The sequence below is a fragment of the Homo sapiens genome, chromosome 15 (assembly GCF_000001405.40).
Source record: "Homo sapiens chromosome 15, GRCh38.p14 Primary Assembly".
NCBI lineage: Eukaryota > Metazoa > Chordata > Mammalia > Primates > Hominidae > Homo > Homo sapiens.
The window spans coordinates 76,508,006-76,523,987 of record NC_000015.10 but is presented as its reverse complement, the minus strand read 5'-3'; the positions used below and the strand labels follow the sequence as shown (position 1 = coordinate 76,523,987).

Genomic DNA, 15,982 nt, shown 5'->3' with positions numbered 1-15,982 from the left:
AGAGTCTTATTTCAGTACTGACAGTTATTTCAGTCTTAGGAAAGTCAGGAATTCATGGTGTGTATGAAAAAACTAAGGTAGGAGAGGTTAAGTGAAGTCACCAAAGTTACACACAACAATTGGGATTGGTGGTTGTTGATTTATGCACATTTTTTACTGACTGGGACTTTGAAATGGAAAGCATATCATCCTCTCCAAGCATACATGGAAACATGCTGCAGTAGTTATTTTTCATATATAAAGTATGTATTTTCTTCAAAAAAAAGTAAACCGTTATTACTCTTCTGTGCTCTCTGAGCCCTCTGATTGTACTCATGTTATAATATGTACTATGCAATTATGGTTGTTTAACTGTCTTCCTAAAGCAGACCCACCTCAGTATTTGGCATTGGGTGGATGCCCAAAAATGTTTATTGAGTGAATAAATGATTCCCTGGATGTAATTTAATTGCCTTTGGAATTTGGATCCTAAAAGTTATTTATATTATTACTCATTTTTCCAAAGCAAATAGATTCTGAATCTCTTTGTTGATTATTAGTCGGTTCTATCAGATTTACATAAAGGACAATCAGTGACTGACCTGGGAACCATAGCTCAGTACTTCTGTGGTCACAATATTGGAAATGGGTTGGCTGGTTTGAGAAACAAAAATGTGGCATATCCAAACTTAGTATCATGGAGTTTTGCCTGATTTCAAGTCTTCCTCATTTTATGCAAATATATATTTCTCATCTATTATTTAAAACTTTATAACTCCAATTAGTTTAACTGAGTGTGAACCCCTTTATAAGGTAAAAAATATTTTTATAAAATTGTCTTCTAATTTGAATTTTATATATCATGATTGGTTAAAGCAATATAAGCAATATGCCACTTTTATTAAAGACATGAATACTTCATGAGAGTTAAGCTGACCTATTTTGGAATTATGGGAGGAATATCTAGGGAACCAACATTTATATATATTATATATGTATTTATGTAGTAACAATGCATTTTGGATTTTTCAGAATAGAATTCCCCATGTAAATGAGAAATAACATTATATACTAACAGTCTATTTTGATGAATAGGAATGTATAAATCACTTGTCAGAAACATATCACATGAAGTTGTATTTTTAATTAGACCATTTTGTTAATATTTTTAACAGCTCTATTTATACATAATTTTATGACTTACAATTCACCCATTTAAACTGTACAATTCAGTGGCTTTTAGTATAGTCACAGAGCTGTGCAACCATGACCACAATCAATTTTAGAACATTTAATTACCCTAAAAAGAAATTCTACACCTTAGTCGTCACTCCTCTAATGTCCCCATCCCCCAACATTTTGTTAACATTTACACTTTATGGTTGAAATACTTATTTACTACTCTGTCTTAGTGTAAAAATCTGAAGTTTGCATTTTGCACATGCTTGTATGTATTTCAACAATCTCTGTACAGTCCATATTTTTCACATCTTGCTACAAGCTGTAGGTGCAAATGACCTTCAGAATTAGAATTTGAGTATCACAGTTTTACTTTTTCCTCAAAATATAAAACTTAAAAATTAGTTTATTATTTGAAGATGAACCATTGCTTTATTGATAGAATTGAAATCAGCAATCTTGTAACTGACTTCCTACTGGTGAATCAGTCATTGTATAGTGATTGAAGAAGTATCTCTCCACCAAATTCAAATTGGAATAAATTATACTGGGGTACTTGCTCTCTGTCTCTGTCTCATAATTTGACCTAAATTATTATTCTCCATAGGTTTTTACAATTTTTAGAAAATGAAAGTTAGTAACAATGCATTTTGGATTTTTCAGAATAGAATTCCCCATGTAAATGAGAAATAATATTATACACTAACAGTCTACTTTGATGAATAGGAACGTATAAATCACTTGTCAGAAACATATTACATGATTTTTTATGTGTAATTTACACTAAATTCTTGCGGGCACAAAGCATTCTCTGAATTAAATTCTCTACAAAAGCAGTAAAATGTATAATGCATTTCTGAATAATGCATTAACATCCTTATATTCAAGATCAGTGATAAACAAATTGGTACCCTAGTATCTGGGGACACAGGGCGATAAGACTGCTGAGTTCATTTGATAGAAGACTTTAGAGACTTGTCTACTAACTTTGCATCCATTGCCATAGAAACAAATTTAATAGATTTTTTAAACAAATTTAATACATTTATTTAAAGCAGTGTGCCACTTTTATTAAAGACATTAATACTTCATGAGAGTTAAGCTGACCTATTTTGGAATTATGGGAGGAATATGTAGAAGTCAGTATTTCAACAAGTTGTGTTTTTTAATTAGGCCATTTTGTTAATATTGTTAACAGCTTTGTATACGCTTTATATAAGGTATATCATTTATGTATTATTGTGATACTTAATTGTAACATCAGGGACACAAATGGATAACCGAACTACAGCTATGAAGGGCTAACTCTTCTTATCACTTCAGTTTATTAACTAATGAAAATTGGTCTCGAACTCCTGGCCTCCAGAGATCCTCTCTCCCCACCCTCCCAAAGTGCTGGGATTACAGTCGTGAGCCTAATTATTTGGGGTTTTTTTTTCTGACCTTAGATTTGGTCTTCTAAAGCACCAACTATACATTCCTTATATATTCTAGGTACTAGATAGTTTGCTGAATTGATATATTAACAAAGCCTGTTTATATATGAATCCAAGACAGTGAGTTATAAAATATACCATAAAAAGCTAGTAAGTATACAGATACCCAAAATGACCATCCTAATATATTCCAAGGCATATCTTTGTCTCATCTAATAGTATTTAATTTTCATAAAGAAATGAGATGATTTTCACATTCCTTGCTAATCTAAAATTCCTGAATTCTGTACTTATTTTCTGTCTTTTACCATTTATTCTTAGCTACTTGAATAATGACCCTTTTCAAAGCTTCAGTAACTTTTCTCTCAGGAGTAACATAGAGCTATCTCTAATCTAAAAGTTTTTAGTTCATTATATCTGTAGTGCTATCATCTGTCTAGGAAAACTTCCCGCCACTGACCCTTTATATAATTGCATTCACTTTATAGACATTTTAGTTCAATTAAACAATTTTGTTTTTCAGTGTGTACCATGCAGGGAGGCAATATACTATGGTGTTTGAAAGCTCAGATTCTAGAGTCAGACATATCTGGGTTTGACTTCCTGATCAGCACTTACTATTTATATAATCATAAGCCAACTACTTATTTTCTCTGAGCTTTAGTTTCCACATGTAGATGGGAATAGTAATTGTATCAACCTCATGCTGTTGTGATATGAGACAGTTCTTGCAAGGCAGCACTTAGGAGAGTACTTAGAGGGCATGTGTGTGTTTGTCTGTTGAGGGGGTGGGGGGTGTGTATGAGTACAACAAATGTTAGTGATTTTTTAAAATGGACCAAGCACATGGGAAACAGCAGTGATAAGACAGCTATAGGCTGGGTACAGTGGCTCATGCCTGTCATCCCAGGACTTTGGGAGGTCAAGGTGGTTGGGTCACTTAAGCTCAGGAGTTCAAGCCCAGCCTGAGCAATATGGCAAAACCCCATCTCTACTAAAAATACAAAAACTAGCCAGGTGTGGTGGCATGTGCCTGTAGTCCCAGCTACTCGAAGGCTGGGTTGGGAGGGTCACTTAAGCCCAGGAGGTGGAGGCTGCAGTGACCTATGATCACACCACTGCACTCCAGCTTGGGTGACAGAGTGAGACTTTGTCTCAAAACAAAAACAAAAACAAAAAAACAAAAGATAGCTATAGGCTCTGTCCTTCTAGACAAACAAATAATTACAATAAAGAGTGATCACTATTATAACTGAGGAAATACACAGTTGTTCATGGATATAGTAGGAAGACTAAACACAATCTAGAGGTTAGAGAAGGCCCCTTTGAGGAAGTAACATGAGTGAGTAGTTAGATTCTTAGCTAAAATAGAGGTTTTATGAGAGAAACTATACTGTAGTACAATTTTAAGATACTACAAAGATCCCAGGATATGTCCATCAAGAACATTAAGGGTATACTATTATGAGTATCACTTAGCATTGAATGAAATAGAAATGAAATGTGAAGCCTAGAAAAAGGAAGAGCTCTCTAGAGTAGGAACTAACATTTGTTTCATAAAAATTTATTAGGCACTTATTTAGCTAGAGGAGTTTGGGGGACAGAATTCAAAGATGATCATCACTAACATTTATGCAGATTATTCAGTCATCTAAACAAGCACTTGAGATAGGAAGTATTAGCCCTGTTATATGAATAAGAACACCGAGGCATCAAGAGGATAAGAGGAGGAGTTAAGATCCAAACTCTGGCAGAATTATTTCATAGGCCATGCTCTTAGCCACTATTGTAATAGCTTCTGAACAGTGGATACACAGTCCATGCCCATAAGGAGCTCATAGTCTAGTGGACAGTAGATGTTCTGGGCTATAGCTGCTAGGACAAGACTTATTCTGAAATCACTTATATCACAAAGTTAACAACCTTAAATGGTCTTTCTACCTGATTCCCCTGATAAAATATGTCATTCCTGCCTATCTTTCTCAGATCCCTACTTCTCCCTTTCCCTGCTAAAAAGGCCTCCTGGTGTTGTGTGCCATTTAATATTTACAAATGAATATTTTCAGAGGTATAGTTTTTTTTTAGGATCTTTACATTTATTTTCTATATGATCACTTGCCTGTGTAGTGAGGATATAAACTTGCCTGCTGACTTAAAGCTAAATGTATTTTAAATTTCAGATTAAAAGCGTTGTGTAAATATAAATTAATCCTCAAATTTCTCTTCGAATGAACTTAAAAGTGCTCCTTATGAATAGGAAGGGATTTTATATTTGCCTTTTCATAAAATTATTTAATGGTCGGGTGTCCTCCAGGCTTAACGACTCTTCTGAGTTTTGTTTGCCGTAAATGAGCAGCCTTTTAAATGTTTCAGTTCACCTTTAGTAAAGGTCTTATTCTCACTAGCTAATAGTAGCAGCACAGAGTAGCTCTAAAGTTAGAATTCAGTGGGGCAATATTAACTCTTCAGTAAACACTTGATCACATTTGCTTTAGCAAAATCAAGAAGAACAGATATTCTGAAAAAAGTTTTCACACTGTTCTCCATATAAGAAGGTATTATTTGTGACATTATGATGGAGAACAGAAGCTCAACAATGTTAAACACTGTTCATCCATGATCAAAGTATAGATTAATGTGGGTACCTTGAAGTCCCCGTGCTGAAAGGTGGTTCATCTTTACCTTCTTCCTTGCTGCACTGCATTTTGTGTCAGATAGTCTGATAGGAACACATTTTGCAATGTTTTTGCCTCCTGTGTTTCTCCCATAAGCCTTTTAGGTGCTAGAGAACAGGAGGGTCTCTAGCTCCAGAGAGCAGGCTCCAGATAATCCATCTGAGAAAACCCTGCCCCTGCCTATCACTAGCTGTTTCCTTCCCTTCGTTTCCTTTAGACTAAATTAAGCAGACCCAGTACTTGCTAACAGGATCATCTCTAAAATTAGCTGTGCTTGACTTTCCTTGTGCCTCATCTAAAGACTTTTACCCCAGCTGCTTCTTGGAAAGAAAAAATATATATATTGCAATAAATATCTTATCATGGCACAAGTGGAAAAGGCGTACTCTAAAGCCTGAAGCAGTATCTCTGCTGAAGTTGGAAGCAGAGCCTGCAGAGATGAGCTCCAGTTCTGATATCCAGGAAGGAAGGTGTTTTGAAAGATGCCCTGGCTGAGGAACTATTGAAGGCCAGCTGGGGCTTGAGCTGCAGGGAGCCCATCTTGGGCCACCTGGAGTCTTTTCTAACCCTGGTCCCACATTTTCCCACATTTCCTGCCACCTTACCCAAGGCCTGTTTCCCTCCTGCTGTGTGCACATTTCTTCCCATTTCCTGGCAATCTCAAGAACTGCACCACTGGTTAAAAGAACTACTCATATTTCAGTCCCTTAGAATCTAGTTAGCTCTTTCATTTCCTTTTTATTTACTTGTGATAGTCAAACTTAACATTCCTTTATATTCTTTGAGTCTGGATTATTTCAAGGATTTTTTTTTTTAGCTGCTAGTGAATGCTAATATAAGAAAGCTCGGGATCCCTCCTCTAATCCTAAAAGTAACTTTACTTATCTTTAAAATATTATTAAGCTAAATGCATGTGGTATTCTATATTCAATCCTGGAACAGAAAAAGGAGGACATCAATAGAAAAACAGAAAATCAAAATAAAGGCTGTAGGTTAGTTAAAAGTATACTACCAATATAATTTCTTAGTTTTGATAAACATACCATGGTTATATAAGATGTTAATATGGGCTGGGCACGGTGGCTTACGCTTGTAATTCCAGCGCTTTGGGAGGCCGAGGCGGGTGGATCACTTGAGGTCAGGAGTTTGAGACCAGCTTGGCCAATATGTGAAACCCCATCTCTACTAAAAATACAAAAAAATTAGCCGGGTGTAGTGGCACATGCCTGTAGTCCCAGCTACCTGGGAGGCTGAGGCAGGAGAATGGCTTGAACCCGGGAGGCAGAGGTTGCAGTGAGTCAAGATCACACCACTGCACTCCAGCCTGGGTGACAGAGCAAGACTCCATCTAAAAAAAAAAAAAAAAGATGTTAATATAAAGGAAAGCTCGACTAAGGCATATAGGAAATCTCTACTATCCTTGCAACCCTTCTATAAATCTAAAATTACTTGAAAATAAAAAGTTTTAAAAATATATTTTTAAAAGTGTATGTATATATAGTAAAATCTTGGGCTCTAAGTAGCCCAAGATTTTATAAATTTGGGCTATTTAGAGATAAGGGTCCCAAAAGTCAAACGCATACTTGCAGTTACATGCAAGATTTTCCCACAGCACTCTTGGTGTAAACCCATTACACACTCAGAAATCAGATAAACCTAGACTCAGTCCCCAGCTCTGCTACCTCTAGCTTTGTACATTTGAGCAAGTAACTGATTGTTCTAAGACTGATTTCCTTATCTGTATAATGGGGCTAATGAATCCTACCTCATAGGATTGTTGTGAGGACTTATATGTGAAGATAGCCCAGGGCCTGTTACATGATAAGCCCTCGAAATGTTGCTCTCAGTAGCCCTCCAAGATGGTAATTTGATAAAAGTAAAATTTGGGTTCCTGTTTCCTCCTTAAGTTTGTTTTGACTCCCAAGAATTGCTTTCCCCCTCTGTCCCTCAGGATATAGAAAGTTCTGGGTCACCAGCAATCCCATTACTGGGTATATACCCAAAGGATTATAAATCATTCTACTATAAAGACACATGCACACATATGTTTATTGCAGCACTATTCACAATACCAAAGACTTGGAACCAACCCAAATGTCCATCAATGATAGACTGGATAAAGAAAATGTGCCACATACATACCATGGAATACTATGCAGCCATAAAAAAAGGATGAGTTCATGTCCTTTACAGAGACATGGATGAAGCTGGAAACCATCATTCTCAGCAAAGTAACACAATAACAGAAAACCAAACACTGCATGTTTTCACTCATAAGTGGGAATTGAACAATGAGAACACAGGGAGGAAAACATCACACATTGGGGCCAGTTGCGGGGGTGGGGTGGGGGGTGGTGCTAGGGGAGGGATAGCATTAAGAGAAATACCAAATGTAGGTGACAGGTTGATGGGTGCAGCAAACTACCATGGCATGTGTATACCAATGTAACAAACCTGCACATTCTGCACATGTATCCCAGAACTTAAAGTATAATTTAAAAAATTTTTTAAAAGAATATATATAAAAAAAAAAAGAAAGAAAGAAAGTTCTGAGTTCTGGGTCACTACTTTCCCTAAGAATAACGCAAAAAAAACTGATGCCAAGATGAGTAAGACAGGATGATTGACAAAGGCCCTGTGGTTGGCCTTCACATCTCTGGTCTCTCCTTTCCCTCTTTCCCTTCAGGCAGGCCTAACAGTAGGGCCTGCCTTCTCTGTCAGCACAGACAAGGACCAGTAACGTTTTCCAAAGTTCCTAGCTTACTTGTACCCTTACCTTGACTTTTCCAAGGCTGTGGGATTCTAAGCCTTTTCTTTCTCATTGATGGGCTGTCTCTCCTCTTAAGGGAATTTCTGATGTCAGAGCCCCAGGAATTAAATTGATTGTAACTTTATTCTTTGATTCAGCAAATATTTATTGAACACCTGCTTTTTGCTAGACGCAATATAAACATAATTCCAGCTGTTAGAGACCTCGCAATCTAGTTTGTGATGAAGTAAACAGATACTATAATCATTATGATTTAGTTTACAACCAAATAAATAGAAAAATCAGTAAAGAAGCAAAAGTGTTATGATGGAGAGAAAATAGAAATTGCCACCTCTGAGAAAAGCCTCTGAGCTCTAAGGTCCTGCCTCCTGGGAGCTGCTGGACCCATTAGAGTTTGTCCATGTTACTGGCTCTTGTCTATATAACCCATTTGCCCAAAGCAAATTTTCTTTGCTCTCATAGTCCCAAATTTCTTTTACCTTCAAACTTTAAAACATTCAGGATACTTGAGATATAGGGGCAAAGAAAAAAGGAACCATAGTTGCAGTAATGAACTCTTCATACTAATCTTTGGTCATCTATCTCCCAACAGCTTAAAAAGAAAGAGAAAGACCACTCAGGTCTTGTGGTCTGCTTCTGTCCTTCAGTTACTGCACTCACCCTCTCTCACTCACTCTGCTCTTTCCTTCCTTAGTCCAAATGGGTCAGAAATGGCACAATTCAGCTCCCTCAGGGAGCGTCTTCCAAAGAGTCCAACTTCCAATTAGCATCGCAAAGGAATTGTTCCTCTGATACTGAGAAAGCTTTTCTAGCCTCTCAGCCCCACTTACTGTATCGCCTAAGCCTTCAAACTGTAGCTTATAATTTTACTGTTTTTGGCATCACCTTCCCACAGTATGTTTTTGTTCTTGTAACATCCTTGACCCCAAAACCTAGTACTATCAGTGTTAGTGCCTACAGCTGAAAAGCTGAGCATAGATATTTATGTAGATTATAGGAATATAAAGAAGCCAGCAGTTAGGAAGCTTGTAAGGGAAAAACACAGAACAAGGAGCATCATCTCATTGTGCTTCCTTCTTTTAAACTAACATTAACAGACAAGGATAGTAGAAAAGTGGAAATGATGTCTTTTAAGTGTTAGTAAAGTTTTCCATATTGGGAAAAACGACCATAAAAATTTTCACTTCAGGACGTTCTCATCTCTATAAATTAGGCTACTGAGTTCTAAATTTATGGACTTGCCAAAACCTACTTGTATTTTCTCTAAACAGGTCTTAAGGTGCCACAGATGCTCAGAACAAATGTAGCCTATACTGCTAATGAACACGCAAACAGTTTTCCCCATCTGCCACCTCTGTCTAAAAAGCTTTGAAGGCCTTCCTCCCTGATCACAAAGAACATAATTATTGTCTACAGAAAAGTCAAGTACAAAGGCCACTAGCCTTTGCAGGCTGCCAAAGATTAACAGCTGCCTCTTCTTTGATTGGGAGAGGTAATAACAGTTACTCTAGTTAATAATTGGATGGATTCCCTGACTGTGTAATTCAGATTGAGACTGTCATTTTTTGCTGGCCTTTAGCTAAGTGGGGTTATTAGAATGGAGCCACTAATCCTATTAGTCAGTTGTCAGTCTCACAGTGGGTGAGAGCAGGGGAAGGCAGAGCTTTTAAGGTATTATGCCAGGTACATAAGGGAAGCCACACATCTTATCTTTAAAGGTATGTTTTTCTCAATCAAATCAGAATTACCAAGCTTTCTGTGAAAGTTTTTTCCAGTTTCATATGTCTGAATGCAGAGAATTAGAAAAGGGGTAAACGGGAATTCACCTTTCTAGAATGAGATATTTTCAGTCACTGAAAACACTTTGCTTGATACCTGCAGTGTGTGCATCCTGTGCTTGGCCCTGGGTAGGAACACAGACATAGGAGAGTATAGGCTTTACAGTCTACTACATGGACACAAATAACTTTGCGTAAAGTAGAAAGTGGTAAGGGCCACACAAAAAAATACAGCTAAATATACAGAGAGCTTTGATTTTAGTTGAGGGGATCTGAGTGACTTAACAGAAGAAGCAACATTTGATCTTGGTCTTAAGGGATTGGGAGAGCATTTGAACACTACAAGTTGGAAAGGTGGCAGTTTGAACGGAGAAGATAATTATGGTTAAGGATTTTTAGTGTACTTGCTTTTTCTGGATGCTAAGAGGGATAGGGACAAGTATGAAATGGTGTATCTGAAGAGCATCCAGTCTTATTATTATGGTATTAAGCCATCCAGAAATGTAATCAGAGCACTGTATAAGAAGTGCCAAGTGATTGGCACAGGAAGTTAGTGTGGTATGAAAAGAGAGGAACAAGAGATGGGGAAGCTTTCTGTGTTCTTTAAGTCTACCTAGATTTGTATGAGGATTATTTTCTTTTTAGATTTGCATATAAGGTATTTAACGCCACATGCTTGCGAAGGTTTTTTTCTCTCTTAGTTTTAATATTTTGTTGGTTCATCATTGAGACAGCTTGATTTTCCCTTTCTGTCCCCATGAGATGAAGAAATCATCTCTAATATCACAGGATTGTTTCATCCATCTTTATGTATAAACTGTTAGGGAATGGAATCCAGTGAGCAGTATTTCTCCTTGTTATATTTAACATGCCTCTATGTTGTGTTAATCTATCATATCTCACAGAACATTTTTACTGTCTGAAATAAGTCCTTTCACTTGTTCATTCTTTTGTTCCATCACTAATCTATCAGGTATTTACCATTCCTGCTCTGTGCCAGGACTGGGGCTGCAAAGATGAGTCAGATGCCACTCTTGAGGAGCTTGCAGACAAGAGAGAATGGGGCCATGAGGTACGGCAGAGGTGATGGATGAATAGGGCTTGATGTGGGACATGAAGAACTTAGGATGATACTGAGCAGTGTGTCTATCTGGCCATGCTCCATGGAAGAGAGTCCCGAGGTGGCTTGTTGCATCTCTAATCCAGAAGTACACATAACCAGAATCTTCCTTAGCTCCAGGTGGAGATTTGGGAGATTTTTTAATTTCACAGTTGATTTTGCTTTTTTGCTTTTTTTTTTTTTTTCTGGAAAAGCTGCAAATAATAAACTGAAACTTCAGTTTCCAATAGTACATTAGTAAAAAGTTGGCTCTGAATAGCCTTTATCTTCCTGAAATTGGCTTATTTGGTCCTGTTTAGTATCTGTTAGAGCTTGTGTCTTAGGTTTTTCAAGAGGTCGCATCCATGTTGTTGGCATTGCAGAAAAGGCTTTGAGGGTTTTTTGGAGGGTTTTTTTTTAAGGCATAGATGTATACATTAAAATGATCTGCTTTTACTCAGTCCTTTTCCCCTCCACTTCTGCAGTGCTGACCCAGTTTCCTCCCATTGTGGAGGGTCTGCAGGAATAGCAGTGGTGCTGCTTGATTTCCCTGTCGACAGACTGATCAGCCGGTGTTTCTGCTTGGCTTAAAGTACTCTATGCCCTGTTTTTGAGTTGAGAGATGTCAGTACCTAAAGGCTTTACACTAAGATGGAATATGAGAGGAGAGTTTAGTTCCCTTCTTAATGGTTGTTAAGGAAGTTCAGGGCGAACATTTCCTTCAGTCTTGGAAAACTGAATCTCATTCTTTGGTCATGAAGCTCATTTCCAGTGAAAAACTATTCTGTGAGGCAAACATAGTAACAAGAATGGAGGATTTCATCCTGCAATCATACTAGAGAAATTATTGTTTGTGTTTTAGCAGTTAAAACCATGTATAATGGGGCCGGACATGGTGGCTCACGCCTGTAATCCCAGCACTTTGGGAGGCCGAGGCGGGTGGATCACCTGAGGTCAGGAGTTCGAGACCGGCCTGACCAACATGGTGAAACCCCGTCTCTACTAAAAAAAAAATACAAAAATTAGCCGGGCATGTTGTCAGGTGCCTGTAATCCCAGCTACCCGGGAGGCTGAGGTAGAAGAATCACTTGAACTCAGGAGGCAGAGGTTGCAGTGAGCCGAGATCACGCCATTGCACCCCAGCCTGGGTGACAGAGCAAGACTCCATCTCAAAAAAAAAAAAAAATATATATATATATACACACACACACACACACACACACACACATATATATATATATAATAAGTGTATCTTTGTCAGCCTTCCTTCTCATTCAGCAAACATTGTGAGCAATTACTGAGTGCAGTCCCCTGTGCTAAGTCGTTGGGATATGATGATAAAGCAGACATGGTCTCTGACATCAGCAAGCTCAGAGTTTAGTGGAGATACAAAGATGAAAAACTAGAGGATCATCCTTCCTGAAAAGGAACAGTTTATGCAAAAGCACAGAGGCATGAAAAAGTAGAGGTTATATAAGGAATTTGGTTACAAGAGAGGAAGGATCCTGGCAGGGAAGGAGGCTATTGGAGAGGGATCATTCTGAGGTCCGTGAATCTCTTTCTGTAGACTGTGAAGAAGTTGTCCCTGGAGTGTTTTAAGCAAAGAGTGATGTAATGACATTTACTCTTTAGGGTATTTCTTCAGTGTGTATCCAAGGCAGGACTACTCAAACGGAGTCCATAAGCCATTGCCAGGCCACTGTTATGAAACATAATGAGATAAATACACAAATCAAGAGTAAATTTTGCAAGTTGACAGAGTAATTTTATGTCTTTTTGCATCTACTATTTTATTTATTTCTTTTATTTTATTTATTTATTCCATAGGTTTTTGGGGAACAGGTGATATTTGGTTACATGAGTAAGTTCTTAAGTGGTGATTTGTGAGATTTTGGTGCACCCATCTCCCCAGCAGTATACACTGAACCAAATTTGTAGTCTTTTATCCCTCACCCTCTTCCTACCCTTTCCCCCTGAGTCCCCAGAGTTCATTGTATCATTCTTATGCCTTTGCATCCTCATAGCTTAGCTCCCACTTATGAGTGAGAACATACAATGTTTGGTTTTCCATCCCTGAGTTACTTCACTTAAAATAATAGTCTCCAGTCCCATCCAGGCTGCTGCAAATGGCATTAATTCATTCCTTTTAATGGCTGAGTAGTATTCCATACGTGCGCGCGCGCACACACACACACACACACACACACGCGCGCACCAGTTTCTTTATCCACTTGTTGATTGATGGGCATTTGGGTTGGTTCCACATTTTTGCAATCACGAATTGTGCTGCTATAAACATGCGTGAGCAAGTATCTTTTTAGCATAATGACTTCTTTTGCTCTGGGTAGATGCCCAGTAGTGGAATTGCTGGATCAAATGGTACTTCTACTTTTAGTTCTTTAAGGAATCTTCACACTGTTTTCCTCGTTTACATTCCCACCAGCAATGTAGAAATGTTCCCTTTTCACTGCATCCACACCAACATCTATTTTTTTTAATAGCCATTCTTGCTGGAGTAAGGTGGTATCACATTGTGGTTTTGATTTGCATTTCCCTGATTATTAGTGATGTTGAACATTTTTTCATATGTTTATTGGCCATTTGTATATGTTCTTTTGAGAATTGTCTATTCATATCCTCAGCCTATGTTTTGATGGGGTTGTTTGTTTGTTGTTGTTGTTGTTTGCTAATTTTTCTTGCTAATTTGAGTTCCTTGTAGTCTCTAGATATTAGTCCTTTGTTGGATGTATAGATTGTGAAGATTTTCTCCCACTCTGTGAGTTGTCTGTTTATTCTGCTGACTGTTCCTTTTGCCATGCAAAAGCTCTTTAGTTTAATTAAATTCCAGCTATTTATCTTTGTTTTTATTGCATTTGCTTTTGGGTTCTTGGTCATGAAATCCTTGTCTAAGTCAATGTCTAGAAGAGTTTTTCCGATATTATCTTCTAGAATTTTTATAGTTTCAGGTCTTAGATTTAAGTCCTTGATCCATCTTGAGTTGATTTTTGTATAAGGTGAGAGATGAGGATCCAGTTTCATTCTCCTACATGTGGCTTGCCAATTATCCCAGCACCATTTGTTGAATATGGTGTCCTTTACCCACTTTAAGTTTTTTGTTTGCTTTGTTGAAGACCAGTTGGCTCTTAAGTATTTGGGTTTATTTCTGGGTTCTCTGTTCTGTTCCGTTGGTCTGTGTGCCCATTTTTATACCAGTACCATGCTGTTTTGGTGACTGTGGCCTTATAGTATAGTTTGAAATCAGGTAATGTGATGCCTCCAGATTCGTTCTTTTTGTTTAGTCTTGCTTGGGCTGTGCAGGCTCTTTTTTGGTTCCATGTGATTTTTAGGATTGTTTTTTCTAGTTCTGTGAAGAATGATGGTAGCATTTTGATGGGAATAGCATTGAATTTTTAGAGTGCCTTTGGCAATGTGGTTATTTTCACACTATTTTAAAATGTGGCCTTCTACTTAGTACATTTTTTCCCATTTGTTCAGTACTTCATCTGTATTGTATTTCACAAAAGTGTCAGTCTATAATGGAGTAAAAATTTTAAAAACAAAAAATTGGCTTTTATTCGATAGAGTTTGGGAAGCAGTGCTCTAGCAAATGGGCTGGTTAGGGTAAGCTTGGACCCAAAGATACTAATTAGGAGGTTGCTGTAATACCTCAAACAAGATACCATGAGAACCTAACTAGACATGGTCCTGACATGGTAATCAACAGTAGTCATGGATAGAAGAGGCAAGAAGTGTAACAGAAGTAGAATATTCAGAATTTGGAGGCTGAATCAGTGTGAAAGCTGAAGAAGAGGGGATAATCTAAAGGAGCAAATGTTCTTTTGAGAATCTACTAAAAATTGGACCCTTGCCTTATGCATTGCTAGGAGCTTCTCCATCCCTGTTTCACAGAGATGTTTCATTTATTTTTTAATATGGTTATGATTTTTAATGTTTTAAAATATTTTATCTGGAATCCTTATTTGTTTTACATATAAGAAAGGAGGTGTATGTTTACATCCCCATCTTGACCCTTTACCATTTTCCCTACACTTGAGATGTTTCCATAGTTCCCTAGGCTTGGTGTACAACTACTGGTAGGATAGCCAGTCCCTACCAAATTAAATCCAGAAAATATTTATACATACTATATGATTTAACTTATTTGAAAATCTATGGTAGACAACCCTAACTTATGGTACTATGAAACAAATCAGTTGTCGCTTCAGGGAGGAAGGATTGACCATACAAGGAGCATGGGGGAACTTTCTGGAGTGATAGAAATGGATGTGTCTTGATAAGCATTTGTCAAGTTTGATTGAACAGTATATTTAAGATCTGAGCCTTTCACCCTATTATAAGATATACCTGAATTAAATTTTTAAAATCACAAACAGCCAGTAAACATAAGATGTTCAACCTGCCTGGTCATCAGGAAACAGCAAATAAAAACCTCAAAAAAATGCCAGTACACACCCATTACAATGACTAAAGTTAAAAAGACTGGTAAAACCAATTTTGAGTGAGAATGTGGAATAACTGAAATTAACACTATACCACAAACATTGTTTGAAATATTTTAGAAAGCTGTTTGGCCATAGCTACTAAAACTGAACCTATGCATACTCTGTGACCCAGCAGTTCTACTCCTAGATATGCCCAATATAGCTGCATATCACATGTGCCAAATACATGTGCACAAATGTTTAAAGGAGTGTTGTCCAAAGTGTCAAAGTAGAAACAAGCTAAATGTCAACCAGCAGTGAAACACTTAAATAAGTGGATATAGAATAATATCCAGAAAATATACAGCAAAGAAAATGAATGAAATACTGCTACAGGCAGCAACATGAATGAATTTAGAAATAAGCAATCAACCAAAAAAAGCTAGACACAGTTGGGTAAAGTGTGGTATAGATATGAAAAGAAGGCAAAATGAATTCATGAGTTTAAAAGTCAGGATAACCTTTACATTTTGGGACAAGGAAGAGACAGTGAATAAGATGGGCACAAGGGATACCAAGGCATACTATAAAGCTTTGTATTTTAATTTTGGAGTTGTAACACAA

The 15,982-nt window shown here is 37.4% G+C and overlaps 1 protein-coding gene across 25 annotated transcripts in view; it reads left to right on the top strand.

Moving 5' to 3' along the window:
* The window catches only part of SCAPER (S-phase cyclin A associated protein in the ER), a 557,437-nt gene that overhangs the window by 381,353 nt on the left and 160,102 nt on the right, over positions 1–15,982 (top strand). The gene's annotated exons all lie outside the window — the stretch shown is intronic.